General features: G+C 40.3%; 1 protein-coding gene across 2 annotated transcripts in view, besides 2 other annotated features; it reads left to right on the top strand.

The window, feature by feature from the left end:
• The window catches only part of ASB7 (ankyrin repeat and SOCS box containing 7), a 49,113-nt gene that overhangs the window by 7,543 nt on the left and 14,910 nt on the right, over window positions 1-26,660 (top strand). Inside the window, exons 4-5 of one of the 2 annotated variants that reach the window (NM_198243.3) lie at window positions 2,035-2,296; window positions 19,306-19,911. In NM_198243.3, the coding sequence (NP_937886.1) occupies window positions 2,086-2,296; window positions 19,306-19,911 (817 nt within the window). In that variant the 5' untranslated portion in view covers window positions 2,035-2,085. Of the gene's footprint in view, window positions 1-2,034; window positions 2,297-19,305; window positions 20,079-26,660 lie in introns of those variants that run through there. The other variant, NM_024708.4, reaches the window with a different exon arrangement.
• Window positions 21,939-22,438: an enhancer, noted in NCBI's record as "H3K4me1 hESC enhancer chr15:101172275-101172774 (GRCh37/hg19 assembly coordinates)". NCBI's record gives its function as "activates a minimal SCP1, AML or CMV promoter by ChIP-STARR-seq in naive H9 embryonic stem cells {active_cell/tissue: H9 hESC(naive)}" and the evidence as "EXISTENCE:reporter gene assay evidence [ECO:0000049][PMID:30033119]".
• Window positions 25,197-25,698: an enhancer, noted in NCBI's record as "H3K27ac hESC enhancer chr15:101175533-101176034 (GRCh37/hg19 assembly coordinates)". NCBI's record gives its function as "activates a minimal SCP1, AML or CMV promoter by ChIP-STARR-seq in primed H9 embryonic stem cells {active_cell/tissue: H9 hESC(primed)}" and the evidence as "EXISTENCE:reporter gene assay evidence [ECO:0000049][PMID:30033119]".

Below are 26,660 nucleotides of genomic sequence, written 5' to 3' on the forward strand. Positions count from 1 at the left end.
GAAAGGATTCTCATTTTAAAATTTCTAAGAAGGGACAATTTTTGTGAAGGAATTGAGAGAAGAAATAAGAGGCAATCTTGTGGCCGGGCGCAGTGGCTCACGCCTGTAATCCTAGCACTTTGGGAGGCCGAGGCTGGTGGATCACGAGGTCAGGAGATCGAGACCATCCTGGCTAACACGGTGAAACCCCGTCTCTACTAAAAATACAAAAAAATTAGCCGGGCGTGGTGGCAGGCGCCTGTAGTCCCAGCTACTTGGGAGGCTGAGGCAGGAGAAAGGTGTGAACCCGGGAGGTGGAGGTTGCAGTGAGCTCAGATCGCGCCACTGCACTCCAACCTGGGTGACAGAGCAAGACTCCGTCTCAAAAAAAAAAAAGAGGCAATCTTGTTTATTCCCATATTTCTCTGAGGAAATAGCTATTTGTAGAAGTAGCTTGATATTTTTAAATTTGAGCACTTAGTTGTGATACTTAGGAGTAGGTAATGACACCATTTTCTATGTATAAAACAACATAGGATATTTGTATTCTTAAGTTGTAATGATTTGACTTAACCTAGGCCTAAGTTTACTTTTGTACAGTCTATAGTAAGTTTTGCAAGATAAACGATTGTTGGTAGCAAGATTATCCTGATATGTCTAACCTACATATGAGAACAGAAATGTCTTTAAAGGGCTTCATCACAGTTTAAAAAATGTTTAGAAACAAAGGGACTACTAGTTAAGAGATGAGTCTAATCTATTCCTTCCAGTTAGCACACCTGGAGTGGCTTTCTGGAAGCTTGTTAGTTTTCTGTATGTAGTTAAAAGCTTAAAAACACACTAAAAATGTTTTTGTATACACACATGTAAGATGCAACTTTTTACCATTTCACTTTGGACTGTTACTGTTTCCATGAAGGAGGTCTCATTTTACTTTCTTATTTTAATTTTTGAGACAGGGTCTTGCTCTGTATCCCAGGCTGGAGTGCAGTGGCACAATCACAGCTCACTGCAGCCTCAACCTCCCAAGCTCAAGTGATCCTCCTGCTTCTACCTGCCGAGTAGCTGGGACTACAGGTGCACACTACCATGCCTGGCTAATTTTTTAATTTTGTATTTTTTTGTAGAGACAGGGTCTCACTGTGTTGTCCAGGTTGGTCTTGAACTCCTGGGCTCAAGTGGTCCCTTTTTCCTTGGCCTCCCAAAGTGCTGGGATTACAAACGTGAGCCACTGTGCCTGGCCAGATATTTCATTGTATGTTGGGTTTTAGTACAGTCCTTTTTTGTGACCTATTAGAGAGTATGAGAATTCACTGTACTACTTTTCCTTTTAGTAATTTGATCATGTGGTTAATCACCAGATTGTTTCGATTCTTTTTTTTTTTTTGAGACAGAATTTCACTCTCTTGCCCAGGCTGGAGTGCAGTGGCGCAATCTCAGCTCAATGAAACCTCCACCTCCCGGGTTCAAGCAATTCTTGTGCCTCAGCCACCCAAATAGCTGGGATTACAGACATGTGCCACCACACCCGGCTAATTTTTGTATTTTTGGTAGAGACAGGGTTTCACTATGTTGGCCAGGCTGGTCTCAAACTCCTGGCCTCAAGTGATCTGCCTGCCTTGGCCTCCCAAAGTGCTAAGACTGTAGGCGTGAGCCACTGTGCTTGGCCTGATTGTTTAGATTCTTAAGGTTTTAAAATATATTGCTACTTTTTTTTTTTTTTTTTTGAGATGGGGTCTTGCCCTGTGGTCCAGGCTGGAGTGCAGTGTTGCTATCATGGCTCACTGCCGCTTTGATCTCCTGGGTTCAGGTCGTCCTCCCACCTCAGCCTCCCAAGTAGCTGGGACTGATCCCCTGGGCTCAGGTGATCCTCCCACCTCAGCCTCCTGAGTTGCTGGGACTATAGGCTTGCACCACCACACCCAGCTAGTAGTATGCACTGTCATTAGTAAGGTTTACTGATGTAGCAAATGGAATGTTCTGTGATATTTAATAGATGCAGTATCAGGAACCAGTTATTCTAAATTTTACCTTTTCTACCTTCTCTTCTTAAAGGCTGATCCCCGTAACCTAATGAATCCTTTGTAAAAAGTGGACTCAGCTAGGATGTTACACCATCATTGTCGAAGGAACCCTGAGCTCCAGGAAGAGTTGCAGATTCAGGCCGCGGTGGCTGCTGGGGATGTCCACACAGTGCGAAAGATGCTAGAACAAGGCTATTCCCCGAATGGCCGAGATGCGAATGGCTGGACTCTGCTTCATTTCTCTGCAGCAAGAGGAAAGGAAAGATGTGTTCGGGTTTTTCTAGAACACGGAGGTGAGTTTTGTAGAAGCAAATCTTTTTCCCCATGGAGAAACATAAATGATGTTTAGTTTAAAATGTGTCTATTTGTAATTTTTAATGCTTCTCTTCTGTTAATACTCAACATATTATTCTCTCTCCTTTGTGAAGATTTGCTATAAGTGTGCCTTTTTGTTTAAAACCAGATTGTTTAAAAGATCAGTTTTATGAATGGATTCTTTTCCCTGAAACTGTAGTGTCTGTACAGCCAGGTTTGCCCAGGTTATTTCAGCTAAGCTACCTTTCTTCAGGTTGTCCAGCTGCTTTTGTTTCAGAAGCAGAAGTGGCTGTGGTATGCCCATAATTAGAGAATTGCACAAGTTTCCCCTGTTGATTATTGCTTAAGCGTATAGACCGAGCACCAGTCCTTTAAACATCATGGCCTAATGATACCCTATCCTTATCTTTTTGTTTCAGATGCTTTCCTTTGTTATTTTAGAGCACTTGTTTTTTCCAGAAACTGTACATAGTTTGTAGGTATACTATAAGAAGATTGGTTATCTGAGATCTAATTTTGTATAAATATGTGCAATTGGAAACTATATTTGACATATTAATGTTTTTGCTTTGAAAAACTGTTCATTCCCATGGTTTTTAAACCAATGATTGTCCAAAACTACTTTCTCCAGTTGAATTTCAGCCTACTTTATTTTCCTAGAGATGGGTTTTTTATATATTTGATCATGTATACCCACATTATCTCTGTAAATTATGGTTGAAAGCAGCTTGGTTGGGGACTCAAATTACATACATGCCATTCTAGGGCTTTAATTGCTCATTAGAAGTGATTTAGTTTCCTTCCTAAGGTGCACTTTGTTACAAAACTAGCCAAACTTCCTTGCATTTTGAGGTGCAGAAAAATGTTGGAAGTTCTAGAATTCTTATGAGGGTCATGTGAATAATGTGAATATATGAATACAAAGGCTAACAGGATGGACTGATTGCAAGGCATGCTAACACTGAGACTAGGAGTAGCCACATGGCCCAGGGGCCCTGAAATGGGAACTATGTGCCTGAAATAGTTGACCATTGTCAGAACCCAGAAATTCTCTGGCCTGTGCCTACTTTGTAGCTTGTCTTCCATGTCATTTCACCTTACAACACAAAAACTTCAGTTCTGAAGTTGATGAAAGGGAAATAGAAGTGGAACGCCAGGAAAAAGATCTGTAAAAAGTAAAAGGTGGGTGTAAAGTCAGAACGGTTAAAATTCTATGCAGGGCTTCATAACATTAAGACCAAGATGAGGGCTCACAATGTTTATTCCACCTAGTCCTGTTGCTTTTCACTTCTGCCAGCCTTACTTTAAAAAAAGTTACTAAAAGTTCTGTTATTCAAGTAATACATGAATATTGTCTCTTTCAAATGAAGCAAATCTTCAGTTAAATTATACAAATAAAGCCAAAGTCCCCTTTGACTAACCCCTAATCCTTGTCCATCTGCCTCTGTGTGGATGTAACTGGGTATACGTTTGGTTTAGTGCTTATCCTTCTGGAGTATTTCCTGACACTATTACATGGACTCATAGAAATTCAGTCATATGACCAAGCGTGGTAGCTCACGCCTGTAATCCCAGCACTTTGGGAGGCCGAGGTGAGTGGATCGCCTGAGGTCAGGAGTTTGAGACCAGCTTGGCCAACGTGGCGAAACCCCATCTCTACTAAGAGTAAAAAAATTAGTTGGGCATAGTGGCCAGGTGCCTATGATCCCAGCTACTTGGGAGACTGAGGCAGGAGAATCACTTGAACCCAGTGGGTGGAGGTTGCAGTGAGCTGAGATCATGCCACTGCACTCCTGCCTGGGCGAAATTGTGAAACTCTGCTCAAAAAAAAAAAAAAAAGAAAGAAAGAAAGAAAGAAAAATTCTGTCGTATTATGTTGTGTGTGGTTTTGAACATCAATGATAATACTGACTGTATAATTCTACAACTGTTGTTTTTTATACAACTGTGTGACTTAAAGACTTTTTAATAGCAGGAGTCTGCAAACTTGTTCTGTAAAAGGCCAGATAGTAAACATGAGAGGCTTTGTGTGCCGTACTGGCTTTGTAACTACCCAGCTCTGCAGTCGGAGCCTGGAAGCAGCCACAGATAGTATGTAAACTAATGGGTGTGGCTGTGTTCCAGTAAAACTTTATCAAAACCAATGGTGGGGGGAAAAAAAGAAAAAACCAGTGAGGGGCTTAGAGGCTGTAGCAGGGGCATCCAGTCTTTTGGCTTCCCTGGGCCACACTGGAAGAAGAATTGTCTTGGGCCATGAATAAAATGCACTAACACTTAACAACAGCTGATGAGCAAAAAAAAAAAAAAAAAAAGCAAAAAAGTCTTATAATATTTTAAGAAAGTTTATGAATTTGTGTTAGGCTGTATTCAAAGCTGTCCTGGGCTGCATGCCCACCGTGGGCTGCAGGTTGGACAAGCTTGGGCTATAGTTTCTGAATCTTTCTCTCTGTATATATGTATGTATCTAGTTACGTGCAGCATAAGGACATTTTGCTCAATCATGGACCCCATTTACAATGGTGGTCCCATAAAATTATAATACCATGTTTTACTGTACCTTTTCTATGGTTAGGTACACAAATGCCATTGTATTACAGTTGCCTCCAGTATTCAGTACAGTAACATGCTGTACAGGCTTGTGGCCTAAGAACAGTAAGCTATATATAACCTGGGTGTGTAGTACGCTGTGCCGTCTAGGTTTGTGTGAGTGCATTTTATGGTGTTCACACAAGAGCGAAATCACCTAACAACCTAGTCCTCAGAATGTATCCCTGTTGTTAAGTAGTATATATGACTGTATATCTATATATATTTTAATAGCTTTATTGAGATGTAATTCACATGCCACAGAATTCACTCATTTAAAGTGTACAGTTAATGGCTTTCGGCATATTCATGGAGTTGGATATTCATCAGCAAAGTCAATTTTAAAACATTGTCATTACCCCCAAAGAAACCTTCTGTTGGTTCTATTAATACATATTGATTCACTCTTCTTTTCAGCTGCTGAATATAGTATTGATAGGTATGGATATACTATCATTTGTTTATTCTCTTTTATTTTTTGAGAATGGCTGGAATTTTCACAGCAGGAGATTTTGTTTTTTGAAAAGGTAGTGCATACATACATGGTTAAAAAGCCACTTAAAGCTGATCAGTGAGGGCAAGTCTCTAACTTTTAGCCCCAGTCCTTTACTCTTCTTCTAGAGGCCATCTCTTTCACCGGTTTCTTTTGTACCATCCAGAGATAGTCTATGCATGTAGGCAGAAATATTTTTCCGTTTTCTACCTTGTAGCCAGCTCCCTTTTTAAAATGTTCTGTTCCTCCTCTTGATTTTTTCACATAACAGTTAATTTCGTGATAGTTCCTTATCTGCATAGGACTCTGTCTCAGATTCCATCGTATGGATGTAATTTATTTACACTTCTTATTGTTGGACATTGTAAGTTTTCATTTTTCTGCTACTAGAAACATTACAGAGAATGTCCTTGAATGATCGTGTTACATTATGTGAGAGTTTATTTCTTGACTAACTCCTAGAAGTGCATTTGCCAAGTCAAAACATTTTTTATGGATATTGGCAAGTTGTCCTCCGAAGAGATTGTCATCATTTTATGTCCTTACTGACCGGGCAGGATAGTGCCTGTTCACCTGCCTTTGCTAGTGATGTACTTACCAGATGGTTTTTCTCTTTCCTGGTGTGATATACCTGCCTCTCTTTTTCTTTTTTTTTCTTGGAAAAAATGACATATGAGTAACAAACATTGCAAGACTGGGCTTTTTGTCTTACTGATTTGTTGGAATTGTTTATATATTCTCCTTTGTTAGATTTTGCAATGTTTTCTCTCTTTCTGTAGTTTTTTCACATTCTTGTTTTTGTTGTCGGGCAGAAGTCTACATTTCAATGTAGGTGAATTATGGTTTTCTTTAGCCTTATCGTTTGTGCCCTTGGTGTCTTGTTTAGGAAGTATACTGCAGGGTCATTATTTGCCTTTGTTTTCTTCTAAAATGTTTTATGGTATTTAGCTTTTTAATCTGTTCAGAATTGGCTTTGGTGTATATGAGGTAGCCTGGTACAGTTTCACTTTTTTCCCATAAAGACAGCCTAAATCATGCCTTCTTTCTTCATTACTGTGCACTAGGTCAGATATAAGGTTTTCATATATGTGTGGTTCCATTTCTGAGTTTTTATTTAAAACAACAAATATTTTGGATAAGCCCTGTATTTGTTTTTATGTAGCACCTTTTACCTGATACCCTTTCCCTAGTAGAATAAGAGATTCAGAAAGTGTTTCACCCAGTGTATTATGAACCAACTTAGAAAAATTAGTAGAAGCAAACACCTACTGCCCACTTGCTTATGGCCACCTGTGGTGCTTAGGCATGCTCTGTATTTAGTGTAGTCCTGGCTTATGACCTCTAGATCAGTGTAGCCAACTATGTGTTTAATGTCTGCACTCTCATGGCTCATAGACATCGCCAGCACAGCACAAGCTGTGTCCATTCTCACCACGGTGTTCATTCTAGTAAGTGTCACCACAGCCTCTGATTGCCATGCCAGAAATCTAGAAACCATCCTTGGTACCTTTTCCTTACCTCTAATATGACTGATTGCTAAGTCTTATTGATTCTGCCTCCTAAAAAGTTGTCAGAGCTTTTCACTTCCTTTCCCTGGAGATGCCACCCCATTTTTGGGCCAGGAAACATTCCTCACCAGGACTGCTACAGTGGTCTCTTCCATCCCTGCCTCCAGTCTTGCCCCCTCCCAACCAGTCTCCAAATAATGTGACCTGTTAAAATGGAAATAAAAATATTTCCTTTTAAAAATCCATAATTGGTTTCCCATTTCTCTTAGGATGATATTCAAAGTTTATAGTGTGATCCACATGGTGCTGCAGTGCCTGGCCCCTCTTACCTTTCCAGCTGCAGCTTTGAGCCACAGCCCCTCTGCATTCTTTCAGAGTCACTGAGTGCAAAGGTTTTGGCCTGGGACCCTCTTGGGTCACGCTTCTGCTCTCTCCCCACCCCTGCCCCATCACCTTGCTCTGCCTGCTTCTCTCTCAGCTCTCACTGATCGTTTTCTCAGGGAAACCTCTTACCAGCCAGACCGGGTCACCCGGGATCCTTGTATATATCCAGACCAGGTTACCTAGGATCCTTGTATATATCCCTGCTATGTGATACTGTTGTTCCCTGTGTGATGTTATCCCTCTGTTATATGATATTATTGTTCCCTGTACTTTTTTATTATTACAGCTATCATAAGCGTAATGAATTGTTTTATAGTTCTTTATTTTATGTCTATATCTCTGATTCATCTAAAGCTTCTTGAGGGTAGAACCCATATCTGTTTTGCTTCCGTCAAGAAAGAAAGCGAAAACTAACACCAGTTATCTAAAGTAATTGTTCCTCAGTTTTACAGAGACAAGACCAATCTTTTCTTTTATCAAAAAATACTGGAAATGGGCCGCGTTATGGTGGGATTATAAAGTTGCTTGAATGCATCATGCCTCCCCCCACCCCCCACGGGGTCTCCCTGTGTCACCCAGGCTGCAGTGCAGTGGCACAGTCATAGCTCATCACAGCCTCTACCTCCTGGGCTCAAGCAGTCCTCCCACCTCAGCCGTACCTGTTACTTTCAAAACAGTATAGTTTCTTTTCTTTTTTATTTATTTATTTATTTTGAGATGGAGTCTTGCTCTGTCACACAGGCTGGAGTGCAGTGGCGTGATCTCATCTCACTGCAACCTCCGCCTCCCAGGTTCAAGCGATTCTCCTGTCTTAGCCTTCCGAGTAGCTGGGACTACAGGTGTGTGCCACCACACCCAGCTAATTTTTTTTTTTAGTAGAGACGGGGTTTCACCATGTTGGCTAGGCTGGTCCCGAACTCCTGATCCCAAGTGATCTGCCCACCTCAGCCTCCCAAAGTGCTGGAATTACAGGCATGAGCCACCGCGTCCAGTCTCGAAACAATGTAATTTCTTTAAAAGTTTGTGAACTCCAGTCAGATTGGCTCCTCCTGTTAGTAGCTCATTTTGTGGTGGATAGTAAACCAAAATGAAGTCAAAGATCCCAATAGGGAACAGTGAGTGGACTAACTCATAAGAAACAAGACTTGACTTTTCACTCTCTCTTTTTCTCTCCCTCACCTTCTCACCCTGCTGTGTGTGTGGTGTGTGTGTGTGTGTGTGTGTGGAGAGACAGAGAGGAAGAAAGAACAAGAATTCATATAGATAGACAAGGTGGCCAGCTGATCCTTTATAAACTATGTATTCAGCAAATATTTATTGAGCACCTAATAGATGCCAGGCCCAGGGTTGGGCCCCAAGATGCAGAAATGAGCAAATATGGGACTCTCCTTCTGGTACTTCGTCATTTGCTGGGGGATGGAGTTATAGCCAACATTTATTGAGGGTTTAGTCTATGCCAAATTCCTCACAACTCTTTTAGGATAATAAGTATTATCAGTTTTTACATTAAAAATTCTAAGCTACGGAAGAGTAAGTAATTCACCCAAGGTCATTACTTCATAAGCAGTGGAGCTGGGATTCAAACCGTTTCTTACCTGTAATTCTGTATTGCCCCTAAGAAAACAAGGCAGTTCCAAAAGAGTGAATTTAAGGGCCATGTGTAATAAGGTCCTCACTGTCTGCTGGGGTGGGTGGACGAGTGCAAGGAAGACTTCCTAGATAAAGCGTGGTTGGAGTGGAAATCTGGAAAGGTGAGGCAAGGATGGAGGCTGGAAGGATGGGGGTGTGGAATTACTCCAACTCAGGGGGCACTGCGTGTGACGGGTTGAAGGAAAGAAGGAGCACTTTTGGTTTTAGGAGATGAAGAATGTTCAGTAAGATTGGAATATATCCAATAATTTATTGTAGGGACATTGGTGAGGTGTCAAAACCTTTGACAGAGGAATGGGAGAACAGATTCGTGCTTTAGTAAATTAGCTAGTTATAGTATGTGAACATATCAGAAGGGCGTAAGCCCTAAGGCAAGAAGAGTAGCTGGGATATGAGGTGAGAGTGAAGTAAATCAAGAATAACTGAGCTTTTGGCCTGAGGATCAGGAAGAAAAGAATTGCCGTTAATTGAAATGAAGATTAGTAAAGGAGCAGGAGGGAAGCTAGCCAGATGCAGTTTAATAAATGGGACATAGGTGTCTAATACCAGTCACTCACCCACCTAGAAATTACTCAAATATATTGATGGGTCAGATTTTACTAATGTTAAATTCATATACCCGCCTGGTAAAACCACCGATCAGTGATCACACAGAGCTAGCCAAAATCAGAGTAAGAGGTTGCTTGTGACCATAGTTTGGGGAGAGCGATGTGACCACAGGCAGCCTGGTGGGGAGCGGCCACGTGAAGCCACACTTGCTGCTGCTTCTGGAGAAATCCGTTGAGAAAATGAGCGAGTCTGAGTCGAGTAAATGATACTACCTGTATTCCAAAAGGGTAACAGTGTGGCTCTCTTTCTAGTTTAATCTAAGCCTGTGCTGTCCATAGCAGGTGTGGTTATTTAAATTTCAGCCAAGTTAATTAAAAAGTTCAGTTCCTCGGACACAGTAGCCATGTTTTAAATGGTTGCATGTGATGAGTGGCTGCCATATTGGAGAGCACAGTTGTCCTTTGGTATGTACAGGGGATTGGTTCCAGAGCTACCCCCTCAGTATAACAAAACCACAGATACTCAAGTCCGTGGTAGAAAATGGCATAGTATTTGCATATAACCTACGCATATCTTCCTGTGTACTTTAAAATCATTTTTCAATTACTTATAATACCTAACACACTGTGAATGCTGGGTAAGTAGTTGTAATACTGTATTGTTTTTTAAAAATGTATTGTTGTATTATTTCTAATTTTTTAATCAAGTTATTTTTCATCTGTGGTTTGTTGACACTGTGCTAGGGAACACGTGGATATGAAGGGCTGACAGTGGAACACTGGCCTGTGCATACAAGTGGTACTTTGCTGCTTTACCTTCAAGCATCCTGCGTCAAAATGATGAAAACTTAGGGTTTTACTGTGGTCCGAAAATACTTGAGGTTTTAAGCACAAATGGGATGCATATAATAGCACATCTGTACAAACCCTGGTAGTCTTTATGGGATGCATATAATAGCACGTCTGTACAAACCCTGGTAGTCTTTATGGGATGCATATAATAGCACGTCTGTACAAACCCTGGTAGCCTCTCAGACCAGGTTAGTGTACTGTTAGAATCGTGATGGAAGAGTCTCTATTATAAGGGTGGAAATTGTAACAAACTCATTATTATCTTCATTTTCCAATTTTGAGTCTTCTAAAAACTCCAAGACCATGCTGGACATTTCAAGAAAATAACGTTGGAAGAGACAATGTCTTAGTGCATTTATTCATCTTCAGATTCAGTGTTTATGCAAATTGGCCCACGGGCAGTTGGCTAAAGCTCCAGAAGTTAAGTCTATAAAGCAAATCCCCAGAGGAACCTGAGAAAACCTCTCGATAAAGTAGGTAAAATCCTTTTGGTGAAACACATGAAAAAAAGTAGGAGATAGGGGGGTAATCAAAGAAATGCACAGAAGAACGGTGAAAAATATTTTTAGCATTTCAAAAATGAAAGATTTTGCAAATGATAATTCCAAATGTGACACTGGCACACTGATGGGAATTTATGAGAGTACATTTGGAAAGCAGTTTAGCAGTATGTATTGAAGTCTTAAAAACAGTAGTTTATCTTGCCAATATAGAATTTATGTTAACTCTTTATTTAAATTAAGTTTAATTAATGATTAGATTAAATATAATTCTTTTAACGTGGCCAGAGGAATCAGTCTTAAAAGCAGGAAATACTTTCTATACAAAAGTTTCACCTTTCCGAATGTCATGATGTAGTTTTAAAAAAAGCCTACCTTTCATTGTATATAATTTTTCAAACGTAGGCATTCTCAATGCCCAAATATAGAGAAGCAATTCAGTAATTAGAGTATGGTTACAGCTATGTATAATTTTTTAAAAATGTGTAGAAGAAAAGCTGAAAGTCTATCATTGGCAGTAGTTATTAGGAAATGCTATTCTTTTACCTTTGAGTACTTTTGCCACAGACAGTGTAAATGTATTTTTATCATCATTTCATCTTTTAAAATAAAAGACAATAATTGTGAAATTAAATTGTTGGGCTTATAACATGTAAAGATGAAATATATGACAGTAATTGCACAAAGAAAGGAGCTATATTGAAACAGTTTCTGTATACTTCTAGAATCCAGTAATCCCAAAGTAAAAACAAGAATGAAATAATAAACAGAATAATTGAAATCAGTGGAATTGAAAATGGGCAAATGATAGAGAAGATAGATGGAACTAAAAAACAAATAAGGATTCTTTGAAAAGATCAATAAAATTGATGAATCTTTGTCTAGAATGGTGAAAAAAAGAAAACAGGAGAAAAGATACATAACCAATATCAAGAGTGGAAGAGAGATTCTCTGTAGTATTGGAAATCCTAGCCAGAGCAGTCAAGCAAGAGAAAGGAATAAAAGGCATTCAAATTGGAAAAGAGAAAGTCAAATTGTTCCTCTTTGCTGATGATATGATCTTATATTTAGAAAAACCTAAAGACTTTACCCAAAAAACTCTTAGATTGGATAAATCAGTACAGTTGTAGGATACAAAATCAACATACAAAAATCAGTAGCATTTCTATATACCAGTAATGAAACAGGCAAAAAAAGAAATCATGAAGGTATCTCATTTATAATAGCTACAAAAAGAAAAAAGAAAAAAAACCCAACAACCTAGGAATAAATTTAACCAAGAAGATGAGAGATCTCTACAAGGAAAACTACAAAGCACTGATGAAACAAATCGAAGAGGACACAAACAAATGGAAAGACATCCCATGCTCATGGATTGGAAGAATTAATATTGTTAAAATGACTCTTCTATCCAAGGCAATTGGTAGATTCAATGCAACTGCTATCAAAACACCAACATCAGTTTTTCAAAGTTAGAAAAAACAATCCTAAAATTCATATGGAACCAAAAAAGAGCCCAAATAGCTGAAGCAATCCTGAGCAAAAGGGACAAAGCTGGAGGCATCACACTACCGGACTTCAAAATATACTACAAGGCTCTAGTAACCAAAACAGCATGGTATTGACCTAAAAACAGACACAGACCAATGGAACAGAGAATCCAGAAATCTACGTATTTTTAGTAAACTGATTTTCGACAAAGATAACAAGAACATACTTTGAGGAAAGGACACCCTCTTCAGGCTGGGAAAACTGGATATCCATGTGCAGAAGAATAAAACCAGACCCCTGTCTCTCACCATATGCAAAACAACATAAGATGGATTAAAAACATAAACATAAGACCTGGAACGTCACATCTACTGGAAGAAAACAGGAAAAACACTTCAGGACATTGCTTTAGGCAGAGATTTTATGGCTAAGACCTCAGAAACACAGACAACTAAAACATAGGCAAATGGGACTATATTTTAGAAACTGAAAAACCTTTATACAGCAAAAGAAACAATTAATAGAATGAAGAGACAGCCTGTTGAATGGGAGAAAATATTTGCAAACTGGCATCTGACAAGGGACATTGTAATATCCAGAATATACAAGGAACTCAACAGTAAAAACAACAAATAATCCCATTAAAAAGTGGGCAGGTCAGGCGTGGTGGCTCACACCTGTAATCCCAGCACTTTGGGAGGCTGAGGTGGGTGGATCACCTGAGGCCAGGAGTTCAAGACCAGCTTGGCCAACATGGTAAAACCCCATCTCTACTAAAAATACAAAAATTAGCTGGGCCCACGTGGTGGTGGATGCCTGTAATCCCAGCTACTTGGGAGGCTGAGGCAGGAGAATCGCTTGAACCTGGGAGGCAGAGGTTGCAGGTAGCCGAGATCATGCCACTGCACTGCAGCCTGGGCAACAAGAGCGAAATTACATCTCAAAAAAACAAAAGTGAGCAAAGGACACAAATAGACATTTCTCGAAAGAAGACATGCAGATGTCCAGCAGGCATGTGAAAAATTGCTCAACATCATTAATCATCAGGGAAATGCAAATCAAAACCACAATGAGATATCTTATCCCAGTTGTAATGGCTACTGTTAAAAAGACAAAAAATAACAGATGCCAGCAAAGAGGCAGAGAAAAGAAAACTCTTAATACGGTGTTGGTGGGACTGTCAATTAGTATAACCACTGTGGAAAACTGGACATTTCTCAAATAAACTAAAAATAGAAATACTATGTAATCCAGCAGTCAAAGAAAACTCTTAATACGGCATCGGTGGGACTGTAAATTAGTACAACCTCTGTGGAAAACTGGACATTTCTCAAATAAACTAAAAATAGAAATACTATATAATCCAGCAGTCCCACTACTGAGTATCCAAAAGAAAAGAAATCAGTATATCAAAGGAATACCTGCACTTGTGTGTTTATTACAGCACTATTCACAATAGCAAAGATTTGGAATCAACCTAAGTGTCCATTGTGGTATATATACACACAATAGAATACAATTTGGCCATAAAAAATGAGATCATTTGCAGCCACATAGATGACGAGGTCATCATGTGAGGTGAAATAAGTCAAGCACAGAAAGACAAATATCATGTTCTCACTCATGTGGAAGCTAAAAAAAGTTGGCCTCTCGATAGTAGAGAATAGAAGATAGAAAACAGAGGCTGGGAAGGGTATGTTGGTGGTAGGAGGAGATAAAGAGAGGTTGGTTAATGGGTTCCATTTGTTAGAAGAAAGAAGTTCTGACGTTCAATAGCAGAATAGGGTGACTATAGTTAACAACAATGTATTATGTATCTCAGAGTAGCTGCAAGAGAAGACTTGAAATGTTCTCAGCTCATAGAAGTGATAAATGCTCAAGGTGATGATGGATAACGCAGATACCCTGACTTGATCGTTACACATTCTGTGCATGTAATAGATACTCACATATACCCAGTAAACATGTAAAATATCACATACCAATAAAAAATTTAAAAAGAGTGGAAGGGATATGTCACTACAGATCCTCTAGACATCAAAAAGATTAGGAGTATAATGGGCACCTTTGTGCCATTAGGAAAAATGGACAGATTTCCTGATGCACAAAACTGATGCTAAAACTGACCCAAGGAAAAAATAGATTAATAGCCTTATATCAATTTAAGAAGTCTAGCTCATAACTAAAACTTTTCACTGAGAAGACTTTAGGTCCAGCTGGCTTCTCATTGAATTATTTCAGATATTAAAGGACGTAAATAAGGATTCTACACAAATTTTTTGACAGAGGAGGGAACACTTCCAAGCTTGTTGTATGAGGCTTGTGTAGCCCTGATACAGACCAAACAAAGACCTTGGAAGAAAACTATAAGCCAATATTTTTCATGACAATAGATACCAAAATTCCTAACGAAATATTGGCAAATCCAGTCTATTGGTGTATAAAAAAAAATATTATGCCCAAGTAGTATTTACTCCAGGAGTACAATATTTGTTTAACATCTGAAAATCAATAGGCTGAGTAATTTGTCACATTAGAATAAAACATAAATACCTAACAATCATTTCAGTAGATTCAGAAAATGGAACAGTCTTAAATACCTTCATGAGAAAGATGGGAAACCAGAAGCAGAAGGTGATTTCCAAAGCAATGAAAAGCTACAGCTTCCCGGGTGGTGAACTACTGAATTCTTTCCTTTTAAGATCAGGAACCAAGGGAAGGGTCTGTGCTTTTGCCACTTTATTCAGCATCCTACTGTATGTTCTAACCAGTGGAATGAGGGCAGAGCAGTAATCAAGGGTCATGAATTGGAAAGAAAGAAGTCAAACTGTATTTGCAGAGAACATAATTGTGCATGTAGACCCTGGCAAGAAAACTACAAATGTGTTCTAGAACTAAAAGTGATTTTGGGTAGGTTATAGAATACACAAGTCAGTGTATAAAAATCAATTTTATTTCTATCAGCAGTCATCATTTGGAAAATGGAATTTTAGCTCATTATAATAGCAACAAAGTTTAAAATATTTAATAATAAATTTAACAAAAGATATGCATGACGTATATAAGCTATAAAACATTGCTGAAGAGAATTAAGACCTATATAGAGAACTATCCCATGTTTATGGTTTGGAAGAATCAATATTGTTTGGATCATTTTGGAGAGATTGCCATCCTTAGAGTCAGTGGCGTTCTAATCAGAATTCCAGCAGGCTTGTTTGAGGACTTGACAAGCTGATTCTAAAATTTATTATCCCAAATATTAATAATTTTAAAGAAGGCTAGAGAACTTAAGCTACCTGCTATTAAAACTTACTATAAGCTACAGTAGTCAAGACAGTGTGGGATTGGTGTATGGAGAGACTTTTAGGTCAATGGAACAAAACAGAATTAAGAAATAGAGCGACACTTTTATGGTAAATTGATTTTCAGCAGTGACACTAGGGTAAATCATTAAGAGTCCTTTTAACAAATTGTGCTGGAACAAGTAGATATCTTTGTGGGGAGTACTGAACCTTGAACTTACGTTATACCACACAGAAAAATTAATTATGGGCTATTGATCTAAATGTGAGAGTTAAAAGTGCAAAATTCCTAGAAGAAAAAAAATCTTTGTGACAATGCATTGAGCAAAGATTTTTAAAATAGGATACAAAACTACAAACTGTAAAATAAATAATGGGCTTCATCAAAATTAAGAGTTTTGCTCTTCAAAACATAATACAGAAAATGAAAAAGCACGCAACAAACTAGGAGAAAATATTTACAAGACACATCTGACAAAAGGCTTGTATCCAGAATATACACAGAATTTGTACAACTCATTAATGAGGAGACAACCAATAAAAATGGATAAAGGAGGTGAACAGACAATTCACAAAACAGTATATGAATACGTTCAGTATAACTAGTTATTAGGGAAATAGAAATTAAAAGCACAATAAGCCACGATTTTACCTCTCTAGAATGAGTGAAATTAAAATGACTAATGATACCAAGATGTAGAACAATCTGAACTCATCCATTGCTGATGAGAATGTAAGATGGTGTAGCCATTTAAAAAGGAACTTAGGAAAGTTTCATGTGCATTTCACATACGACCCAGCAAGTCTCTCGTGGGTATTGAACCCAAGTGAGATGAAAACACTCTGTCCCCCTCTCCTTCTCTCTCTGTCTCTCTCTCTCTCTGTCTGTCTCTCTCTCATATATTAATTCATGATAGTGTTATTCAAATAGGCTCAAATTGGTAAGAACTGAAATGCCCATCTTCTCATCAATTGATTAAAAAAACTATATAGTATACAGTACTATCCAGCAATACAAAAGAGTGAACTGTCGATACAACATGGAAGTATGGCGGAAACATCATGCAAAGTGAAGTAAGTCAAACACAGAAGTCTACATATGATTCTATTAATATGAATTTCCAGAAATGACAAAACTTTTTTGACCAGTGGTTTGCCTGGGACCCAGAGTCTGGGAAGGGCTAAAGAGAGATGAAGGAACTTTTTGAGATGATGGAATGTTCTATATTTTAAATAGGGTGGTGGGTTATATACTCGTATACAGTTATCAAAGCTCATCATCTGTACCCTTAAAGTGAATGCATTTTACCTCAATAAAGCTGTTAGAAAAAAAAAAATCCCCTCATATTCATAGGTAATGTTTCTTTGCTTCTGTTTATATACATTAAATTTTTTTCTCGTAAATTTAAATGAACTTGTTGAGATTATGCTACAGCTTATTTAAAATAAGTTCCACCTGGGGAGAAAATGTTTGCTAAGGGGACAAAGTAATAAGTTCAGTGGGGTTGCTGTTTTAGATGAAATGTTTAGGGAAGGCTTTTCTTTTTTTGATAAAAGGACATTTGAGTGGATACAGAGTGACATGAGTTCACTTAATGTTTTCACGTCTTGTCCATTTCTTACTGAATTTCTGTCTAGGCGTTTTGTAGTTTATGTTGCTATTACAAATGAGATATTTTTCTTACCTTATTTCATGGGCTAATAATCTTTAAATTACATTTGTTTGCATTTTCATTGCTTCTAATCTCCCATTTGATTTTAACAGAGACTATGCAGGTCATTGTTGTGTGTGTTAATCTCTGTTTTTCCTTAGCTCAGTGTAGCTTCAAAATGTACATAGAACCTGAAAGAGACCTGAAATGGAAACCAAAGATGCAAGTGCAGTGTTTTGTAACATAATTTTAATTTTACTGTCAAATAGAACGAGTATAGGATACAAATAAGGATGGTGGCTGAAGGGTGGGAGAAGTGAAAAGAAGGTATTCTTAAATTTCACTTGCAGATTAAGAGGGAATGTCTGCCAGCAGTTGACTGGCCAGGTATAGATTAGAAATGACCTCTGGCAAGATGTTTTGTTTCATTTGAATGGGAGGGCATCTTGTAGATTTCACGCCTGACTTTGAACTTCTGGTAAGCGATGCACCTGGAACCGGCTTGAGTGACTTAAGGGCTCAGCAGTATCTGCCCGGTGGAAACATTAGTGTCATGCTCATGCCTTACCAGCAGATGGCAGCAAAATGCTGTGTTAAAATGTTCTTACCCTACTTAAATTTAAGTCCTGTGGTAAACAGATACTGTATATTTTTCTTTCAGTTAAGACCAAGGTAGATATAATGCCCTTATTTCCCCTAAATAGATACAACTAATACTACCATTGTGTACTGACACTTTACAGTAAATGTTTTTAGAAATCTACATGATATGGCTTACCTAAAAACATCTTATTTTGTATAGGTTTTGTTAGCAACTCCTTCACTGAAATACTTTCCACAGTATTGTTATTTTACATATAGTTTTCTGCCTCAGATTTTTCTAAGAGAACCATTTGTCATAATATGTTCTAGACCTAAATAACGTTTATTAAACAATACGTGAGTTTTCACTCACCTGTGGAGGCTGTGTGTGTGTATGTATGTGTAGGTGTGTGTGTAAAACATTAATGATTTTTTTCTTTTATTAACAAGCCAAAAATTAAGGTGACTTTTACAAGAGAGCATTTTCATCCTGGGTAGTTAGGTCTGATCAATTGATCTTTTACATGGAATTGCTGACTTCTAGGAGGTGCCCGGCATAACCAGTCCTCGTCCGTCTTCTGCCCCCAGCCAGGGATGCCATGGGGTGAACGCCATCAAGAACCAACCTTTGGCTTAATGAAAGATCTGAGGCCAGTGACAAAAGACTGTGACTTGAGTCACATAGCAGATAAATTATTATAGTTGTTTTTCCTTCCCCAGAGATCAGTCAATTAGGAGAGGTTTTTGGAACTGTTTTAGAAAATATTTTTACAATGCTGAGGTTATTCACATAATGCATTGCTTAATTCTTATAAACTCCAAAGTTCGTGTAAAACTAAGAATTCAGAATAGACTTCTATCTTGTGAAAAAACAATTTGTCAAGATTACTTGACATATATCTGAGATGCTTTGGAATTTTTACAGACCACAGAAAAACTTTTTTTTATTACTTAATATACCCTAAAACAACACGGTGTGCCAGAGCATAGTGTATCTGTAATTTAGAGCAGCAGATGTTGCTACACATGCTTCTCTTTAAGACCGAGAAGAAGCACAAGAGAAAATAAAACAAAAAGTTCAAAACAGAAGAGAAACATGAAACAGTGCAGAGATGAAGGAGTTGAGTAGCCAGAGGCAGTTGGTTAAATTAGCAAAGACAGGGGATGTGGTGATCTGTACTCCGTGTTTTTTGTGTATATCTTTTTAAACACTTTGTCTTTCTCCTTTCATTAACCCAGACGTGATAACATTCTACAAAATTTATTTTCCATTAAAACCAGACTTGAATTAAACTGAGGAAAAACGTACTTGATATTCATTACAGTGTTTGGTTGCTTCACATTTTATATGAGAATTGGCCACAGTTTGCTGTGCCATGGTAATGTTTGTTGTTTTGTCTTGGAGTCTGCTAATACTTTCATTTTGGTTTTAACTCCAGCTGATCCTACAGTTAAAGACTTAATCGGAGGCTTCACGGCTCTTCACTATGCAGCCATGCATGGCCGGGCCCGCATTGCACGCTTGATGTTAGAATCTGAATACAGGAGCGACATCATTAATGCAAAAAGCAATGACGGCTGGACTCCCCTCCATGTGGCTGCCCACTACGGCAGGGACTCATTTGTCCGGCTCCTCCTGGAGTTCAAGGCTGAGGTTGACCCACTCAGTGATAAAGGTACCACACCGCTTCAGCTCGCCATTATCCGAGAGAGGTCAAGCTGTGTGAAAATCCTCCTGGACCACAATGCCAACATCGACATTCAGAATGGTTTCCTGTTGCGATACGCCGTGATCAAAAGCAATCACTCTTATTGCCGAATGTTCCTTCAGAGAGGGGCAGACACAAACTTGGGTCGCTTAGAAGACGGACAGACTCCTTTACACTTATCTGCCCTTAGGGATGATGTGCTGTGTGCACGGATGTTATATAATTACGGAGCAGACACGAACACACGGAACTATGAAGGACAGACCCCATTGGCTGTTTCAATAAGTATTTCTGGAAGTAGTCGACCATGTTTGGATTTCTTACAAGAAGTCACAAGTATGTAATATAATTATTACTTTATTGCATTTTTTAAAAATTTGCATCTTCTGAGGAGCTTAATGTGTTTTTGCAACTTAAGATGACTAGATATTAATCATTCCTATAACCACTGCTTGGTAAGCGATGCCTCATTCTTCTGAAATAAAAAAAAAACTTTGACTGTATCACAAGATTTCATAAAAATTCAATTGTGTTTCTAAATGTAATAGGGGTAGACAGTAAGAGTGAGGGAAGGAATGGAGAGAAGGACAGAGAGGAGAATTTTTTTTAAATGAACAAAGATCTGTGTTAGAACAAGGCAATTCCTGTTGGTCATAAGGATAATCTTACCTGGCTTCCATTGACTGCAAGTTGAGGAGTTAGAGGGGGAATTTTGGATCTTAGATTCCTTACCTGTGAAAATATCCTAGAATTTGTGCTTTATTGCTAAGTTGTTCACGTTTTAATTGTGGCTTTTCTGCTTCATGAGAGCCCACATGAAATGGAGCAGTGGTGCTGTGTATTTAGGGATACCACTCGTGGAAGTTAAGGATGCTAGAAATTGTTGTAAGAAAATATTTGCAGTGGGAAGTTTGGCACCACTGTCCCTGGACCACATGGCTTCCATTGTATTTGAACGTTTTTGTGTGGGTGCTTTTTTTAAAGCCTGGAAGTGTCTGGCCCACTTTGTGTAGTAACGCGTGCGTCCTAGTTGTTCCTCTGATGGGGTATCAGCTTGTGTGTACTTAGCCATCCTCTCTTGTCAAGCTTCCACGTGACCAGTTGAATGTGTGTCTCATGCTTAATGTCCACCATGAAGCTAAAATCTGTAAACAAAATGGATTTTGCTGTCTGCTGAACTTTTTAATGAGTTCCTTTTTCCTCACTGGTTTTGAGCCTTCGGTCATTATTATACAAGAGGACATATTAACATCCTGGGTACCAGCTACTAGAGGGCAAGGGCTCTACCTGACCTGCTTGTAAGTAACCCACTCTACCCCTTGGAGCGGGCCTTTGGAGTACACATTTGCTTTATGAAGAAACAAAATGTAATTTGAATTTTGCAGATTCATGGAAGAAAAGATGCAATTATTATCACTAATGTTTTCAGACTAAAGCGTAAGAAAAAATCACACTGCTTAGTCTACTTAGTGCTGGCCAGTACCAGTTTCTGTGATGTTGGAAATGGTCTCTCCTTGCTGTCCAGTATAGTAGCCACTGGTCCCATGTGGCTGCTGAGCACCTATTAATGTGACCGTTGCCACTGAGGAACTGAAATTTCAATTTTATTTAATTGCGATTTAAGTTTAAATGGCCACAAGTGCCTGGTGGTTCCTTTGTTGGTCCACACAGATCTGCCTGCCTTGGGAGAGGTATCTGGGGCTGACTGGTGGGTGTTCCATTGCAGAAAGCTTCTGAGACACACAGAAGTCGCCACAGTTGGGAGACGTGATACCCGCAGTGCTGCAGTCCTGCTTGCCTTGTTGTTGTTCTCTCAACTTCTACATTAGAGACTTAGTTATGATGAGTGTGGCCGCCCTTAGGAAGGCATGTTATATACTCACTTAAATGCCTCAGCCCCCTTTTTTAAAATACTTTGTTCAGTGGTTAATGGCATAGACTAGAGCTAGACTGCAAGAGTTTGAGCCTTAACTCTATCCCATGTTAGCTGTGACCTTGGGCAGGTCGCCTAATCTCTCTGTGCCTTAGTGTCCTCACCTTCAAATTAAGATAATACAGGCTTGTTATGAGGATTAAATGAGTTAATATTTATAATGCACTTAACACTTAAAATGTTCTTGTTCTTTGTAATTGTTTTTCAAGGTGAAGTGTGTAACTAATAAAGTGAGGGGGGATTAACAGCGAGGACTGGCTTGCCACCAACAGAGCAAATCTTTAGATTCATATTCAACTCAAGCCTCCCAGTTTCAACCCTGTATACAACTGTCCAGAGTCTGTACATGGAGGCACGCAGCCACGTGGCCGAGAGGAGCCGCTGGGCAGGACAAGCACGTGGGCGGCTGCCGTGTGTCCCTGAGCCCTCAGAGCTGCCCCTAGCAGTGCTGTTGGACAGCAGGAATGTTGAGTTAAAGACTCACATGCACTTTAAAATTTGAGCAGATAGAAATGTCAGTGGGGACTGCCTCTGTCTGTGCTTAGGTTCTCCACTGTACGAGGAGCAGAGCTGTGCGCCTAGGAGGTCCTCAGTAGTCCTGGCAGTCTGGCTGACTGCGCACAGCGAGGGGTGGGGACTGAGGAAGCACAGGCTGCTTTCCTGAGTGCAGGGTCCTCCGTCTGTTAAGGCTCCAGTTGTCCTTTGTCTTCAGGTGCCTCAACATAATTTAGTATTTCTTGACTCTCCAGTGGTGTTTCCTGCCAAAAGCAAATTTGGTGTTTCTGCTTCACCTGTGTGTTCTTTGGCTCTAAATAGGTTTTCTTTTCCTGGTGAACAATATGGGCTAGAAGGAGCAGCTGTGGCTGATGCTCTGGACTGAGCTTTCTCATGAAAAGCAGCTTGAAAGAAGGTTGGTTGGTTCAGGGAGCACTAAATCAAAGCTGAGAGCTTCTTCTAGCCCGCGTGCTGTGGGCACCGCAGCCCCAGGCATCATGCTGTTGGCTTATGATTGGAGATCGCAGACTGCCGAGGTATAAGGACAGCAGAGGGGCCACATGGTGGTCTTCATTCAGGGACATTTTACTCTTCATCACACTGTTTTGCCTAGAAACAGATTATTTAAATTGGAAGAGACCAAAAAAATTATAATACCAGAATTTAAAAACTCCTCTGGCCTTTTGGAAAAATTGCCGTAAAAACTCTGATCTATATAGTGCAAAAAAAAAAAAAAAACAGAGCGCACCCGTGGCTTGGTAATAAACTAACATCTGCTTGTGACTTGTTAGTGCTGAGTAGGGGGAGAGGCCATGAAGAGCTGCTGTTGCTGTTCCCTACAGCCAGCCCGCTGTCCAGCATTCAGACCTCAGAACCTCCCCCTTCCAGGACGTCAGGAGCGCAGCAGGGCCCATCCATGGAGGAGCCACTTCTCTGTGCCCAGGAATGATAAACACAGCTAAGAGGAGCCATAGCACCTGCCTGAATAATGAGCGCCACCTGTGGGAGGAAAGCTGCGTCCTGCTTAGTTGGCAGTGTTTATAAGAAGCCAGTTTTTGGTTTTTTACTTGTAGCCAAAAAAAAAAAAAAAAGAATGGAATGAATAAATTAAAGAGAGAACAGTGAAGGTGTGACCGATGTCAAGTAGAAATGGTAGTGACGGCTGGGCGCAGTGGCTCATGCCTGTAATCCTAGCACTTTGGGAGGCTGAGGCGGGTGGGTCACCTGAGGTCAGGAGTTTGAGGCCAGCCTGGCCAACGTGGTGAAACCCCATCTCTACTAAAAATACAAAAATTAGCCGGGCATGGTGGCACATGCCTGTAATCCCAGTTACTTGGAAGGCTGAGGCAGGAGAATCGCTTGAACCCAGGAGGCAGAGGTTGCAGTGAGCCAAGATTGTGCTACTGCACTCCGGCCTGGGTGACAAGAGTGAAACTCTCTCAAGAAAAAAAAGAGGAAAGAGAGGAAAGGAAAGGGGAAAGGGAAAGAAAGGAAGAAAGGAAGGAAAGGAAGAAGGAAGGAGGAAGGAAGGAAGGAGGAAGGAAGGAAGGAGGGGAAGGAAGGAGGAAGAAAAAAAAGAGAAATAAATGGTAGTGAGGACAGACAGCAGTGGACATTTTGGAGGTAAATAGCCCCTTGTGCCTGGGCCAGGACTAGGTTGAGGCAAGTGAAGTGGCCAGGGCACAAAACTTAGGAGGCCCTCATTCTCAGGCTCGTGCACACAAAGTGGAATAATGTGTACATAATGTTTGCACACACACCACTCCAGAACTAAGAGGATCCTGGAGGCTCTGGCATGTGGGCATTGGTTACAGTTCTCCAGCCTCAGGTGAAGAGCAGAAGGTTGTGGGAATGTTTGCCCCATTCAAAAGAGAAATTTAGTGGTTATGAACAGGAAAAGGGTGACACAAGCAGATGTTATTAAACAGATACAGTACTATAACCTTGTGAAAAGATTGTTCCTCAGTAAAGCTTGAGGAGTAAATAATACCACCCATCCTGAAGAATCAGATAGTGAGTTACTGAGTTTTTTTTCTTATCTTCTTCCTCACAGGGTAAACTCCCATAGTCAATGTATGGACCAGGGAGTTATTCAGAATATGAAATCTTTTAGAAAGAGATTCCATGAGAAAGCTGAACCTCAGGCAGTGACTAGCAGGAACGTTTAATCATATACGTATTCACGTGTACACACATATAAAAGTGAGGCTTTAATGATCGGCACAACTGCAATTTTGTTCAAAGAGAAGTAGGAGAAAATATATGTTTTTGGGGAAAACCCCACCTCAGAATGCTTAAGCACAAATTATAGACCTGGCAAGGTAAGTACTGTTCTCACCGAGCCACTTCTGCAGGTGAAAGGAAAGGATTGAAAAGAAAAGAGATAGGGCCAGGTGCAGTGGCTGACACCTGTCATCCCAGCACTTTGGGAGGCCAAAGCAGGTGGATCACTTGAGGCCGGGAGTTAGAGACCAGCCCGTCCAACATGGTGAAACCCCGTCTCTACTAAAAACACAAAAATTAGCTGGGTGTGGTGGCACGCACCTATTGTCCCCGCTACTCACGAGGCTGAGGCAGGAGAATCTCTTGAACCCGGGAGGCTGCAGTTACAGTGAGCCGAGATCACGCCACTGCACTCCAGCCTGGGTGACAGAGTGAGACTCCATCTCAAAAGAAAGAAAGAAAGAAAGAAATAGTAGCTGCAGTTCCTTGTGCAAATGGTATGGAAATTGGGGGAAACTTTCAGTAACACAGTCCAGTGGAAGGTAAGATAGCAGTAAACAGGATGGCTCCCTCCTGGAGAATGCCCCCTGGAAAGGAGGCGGTGTCTGATTGGCTAGATTATTTGCAGAAAAGAGGCCATACTGTGCTTTCTACCTGGGAATTCCTTTCACTGTGAGGCTTTTTACCCTTTACGTAGGAGGGAAAGGTTCAAAAGGCAAAGCAGAGTCAAAGGTTGGTTTGCCCCAGCAGACAAGGTACAGCACTGTTGGGGGGTCACCTTGTCACTCCTGTTTCCCTTTGCCAATGACACCCACATCTGTACTGTGTTGAGAATTTCACCTCCTCAGAGCTGCTGCTTATTAAGGCATTAAGACAGGATTTTACAATTACCATCTAATAATTTCATTAATCTTAATAATTAATGGTTGTTTTAAATTCCCCGGCTGGTAATTCCAACACCTGTGTCATATTTAAGTCTTGTTCTGATGCTTATTTTGTCTCTCCAGACTGTGTTTTTTTCTTGCCTCTTAGTATGTTTTGTGATTTTTTTACTGAAGCTAGACATGGTGGGTAACAGAAACTGAGGTAAACAGTCCTTTGACCTGAGGCTTTTTGTTAATCTGGCTGTGAATTGGGCTGTGAGTCATGTTTATTGCAGCTGTAGGTGCCAGAGGGTTCCGGTCCCTGCAGTGCCCTTGTTTCTGTCCCGTGTCTTGGCTTTGGGCTTCCCTAAGCAGCCTCGTTGGAGAGAGGGTGCATCCTGCAGCTTTCTCGGCTTTCATCCTCTGTTACACGGTGAAGCCCCATTGGTGCAGTTGTAAGGTGTGGGGAGGGCCAGTGGTCTGCAGTCTTCTGATTCACTCTCAGTCTTTCAGTGGGCCTGGGTCCCTAGGCTGCGTCTTCACACGTTTCTTCTTGTGTAGCTTTTCCAGCCCCATAAGCGAGACAGGAGGCCAGAGGGGACTGGACTCAGGAATGGGCTTTCCTCGTGGCTCTGAGACAAGGTTCTGAGAAAGTCTTTCCCCCCGGGGCTCGGGCCTTTGTCATGGAGAAGGTTCTGGGTGCATTTCACAAGGGTTACTCTCACCTCCTCATGCTGGAGCCATGAGAGTGTCTTTACTGGCTCTTTACCTTGAGGACTTGGTGGGGTTCCTGGGAGTAAAACTCACAGCTGAGTGGGGGGCTTCTTAATACTGGCTGCCACTCTCAGACCAGTCAATTCACAGTCAAATTTACCATTTCAGTGTTCGTCAAAATTACCATTTCAGTTTTCCTACCAGTTTATGGCTTCAGTGACTACGGCTCCAGGTACACAGATCTCAGCCATGGCTCTGAATTTGTTTCCTCTCCAAATTGTGTGGTGGAGGTTTGCCCCACATCTTCAGTTTTCTGATGGATCCATGAAAAGTCATTGACTTTGAGTTTGTTCAGGTTTTTTGTCTTGTAAGAATGGGAGTGATGATTTCCAAGCTCTTTACATGTTGGAACTAAAACTGGAAGTCTATTTAGTTTATCATTTTTACTTAAAATAGGAAAAACATATCTGTCCGTTGTCCTTTGAGCTGATTAATGTTTTGCCCACTGGGATCAGGTGTCTCCTGTACATCATCCCAAAGATCCCCCAACTGTGCCTGTGTCAGAGGCGCTGTTGAATCAGTAGAATGGGATGATAGCTAGCAGCTAATGGGCTTCTGATCTAGTGTCTGACTTGCCTTATAAACTTTGACAAGATGTTTAACACTCCCCACACCCCGCTGGGATCAGCTTCCTTCTCTGAAAAACAGGGGAATTGGAACATAGTCCCCAAGTCCCTCCGTTTTAAAAATTCTTGCCACTAACCACTCTTAAAGGCTATGATTTTCTGCTTCTTGTGATTTAAAACAAAACAAAAATTGTTTTTTATTTATTTATTTATGTTAGAATGACGTTTTTC

The sequence above is a fragment of the Homo sapiens genome, chromosome 15 (assembly GCF_000001405.40).
Source record: "Homo sapiens chromosome 15, GRCh38.p14 Primary Assembly".
NCBI lineage: Eukaryota > Metazoa > Chordata > Mammalia > Primates > Hominidae > Homo > Homo sapiens.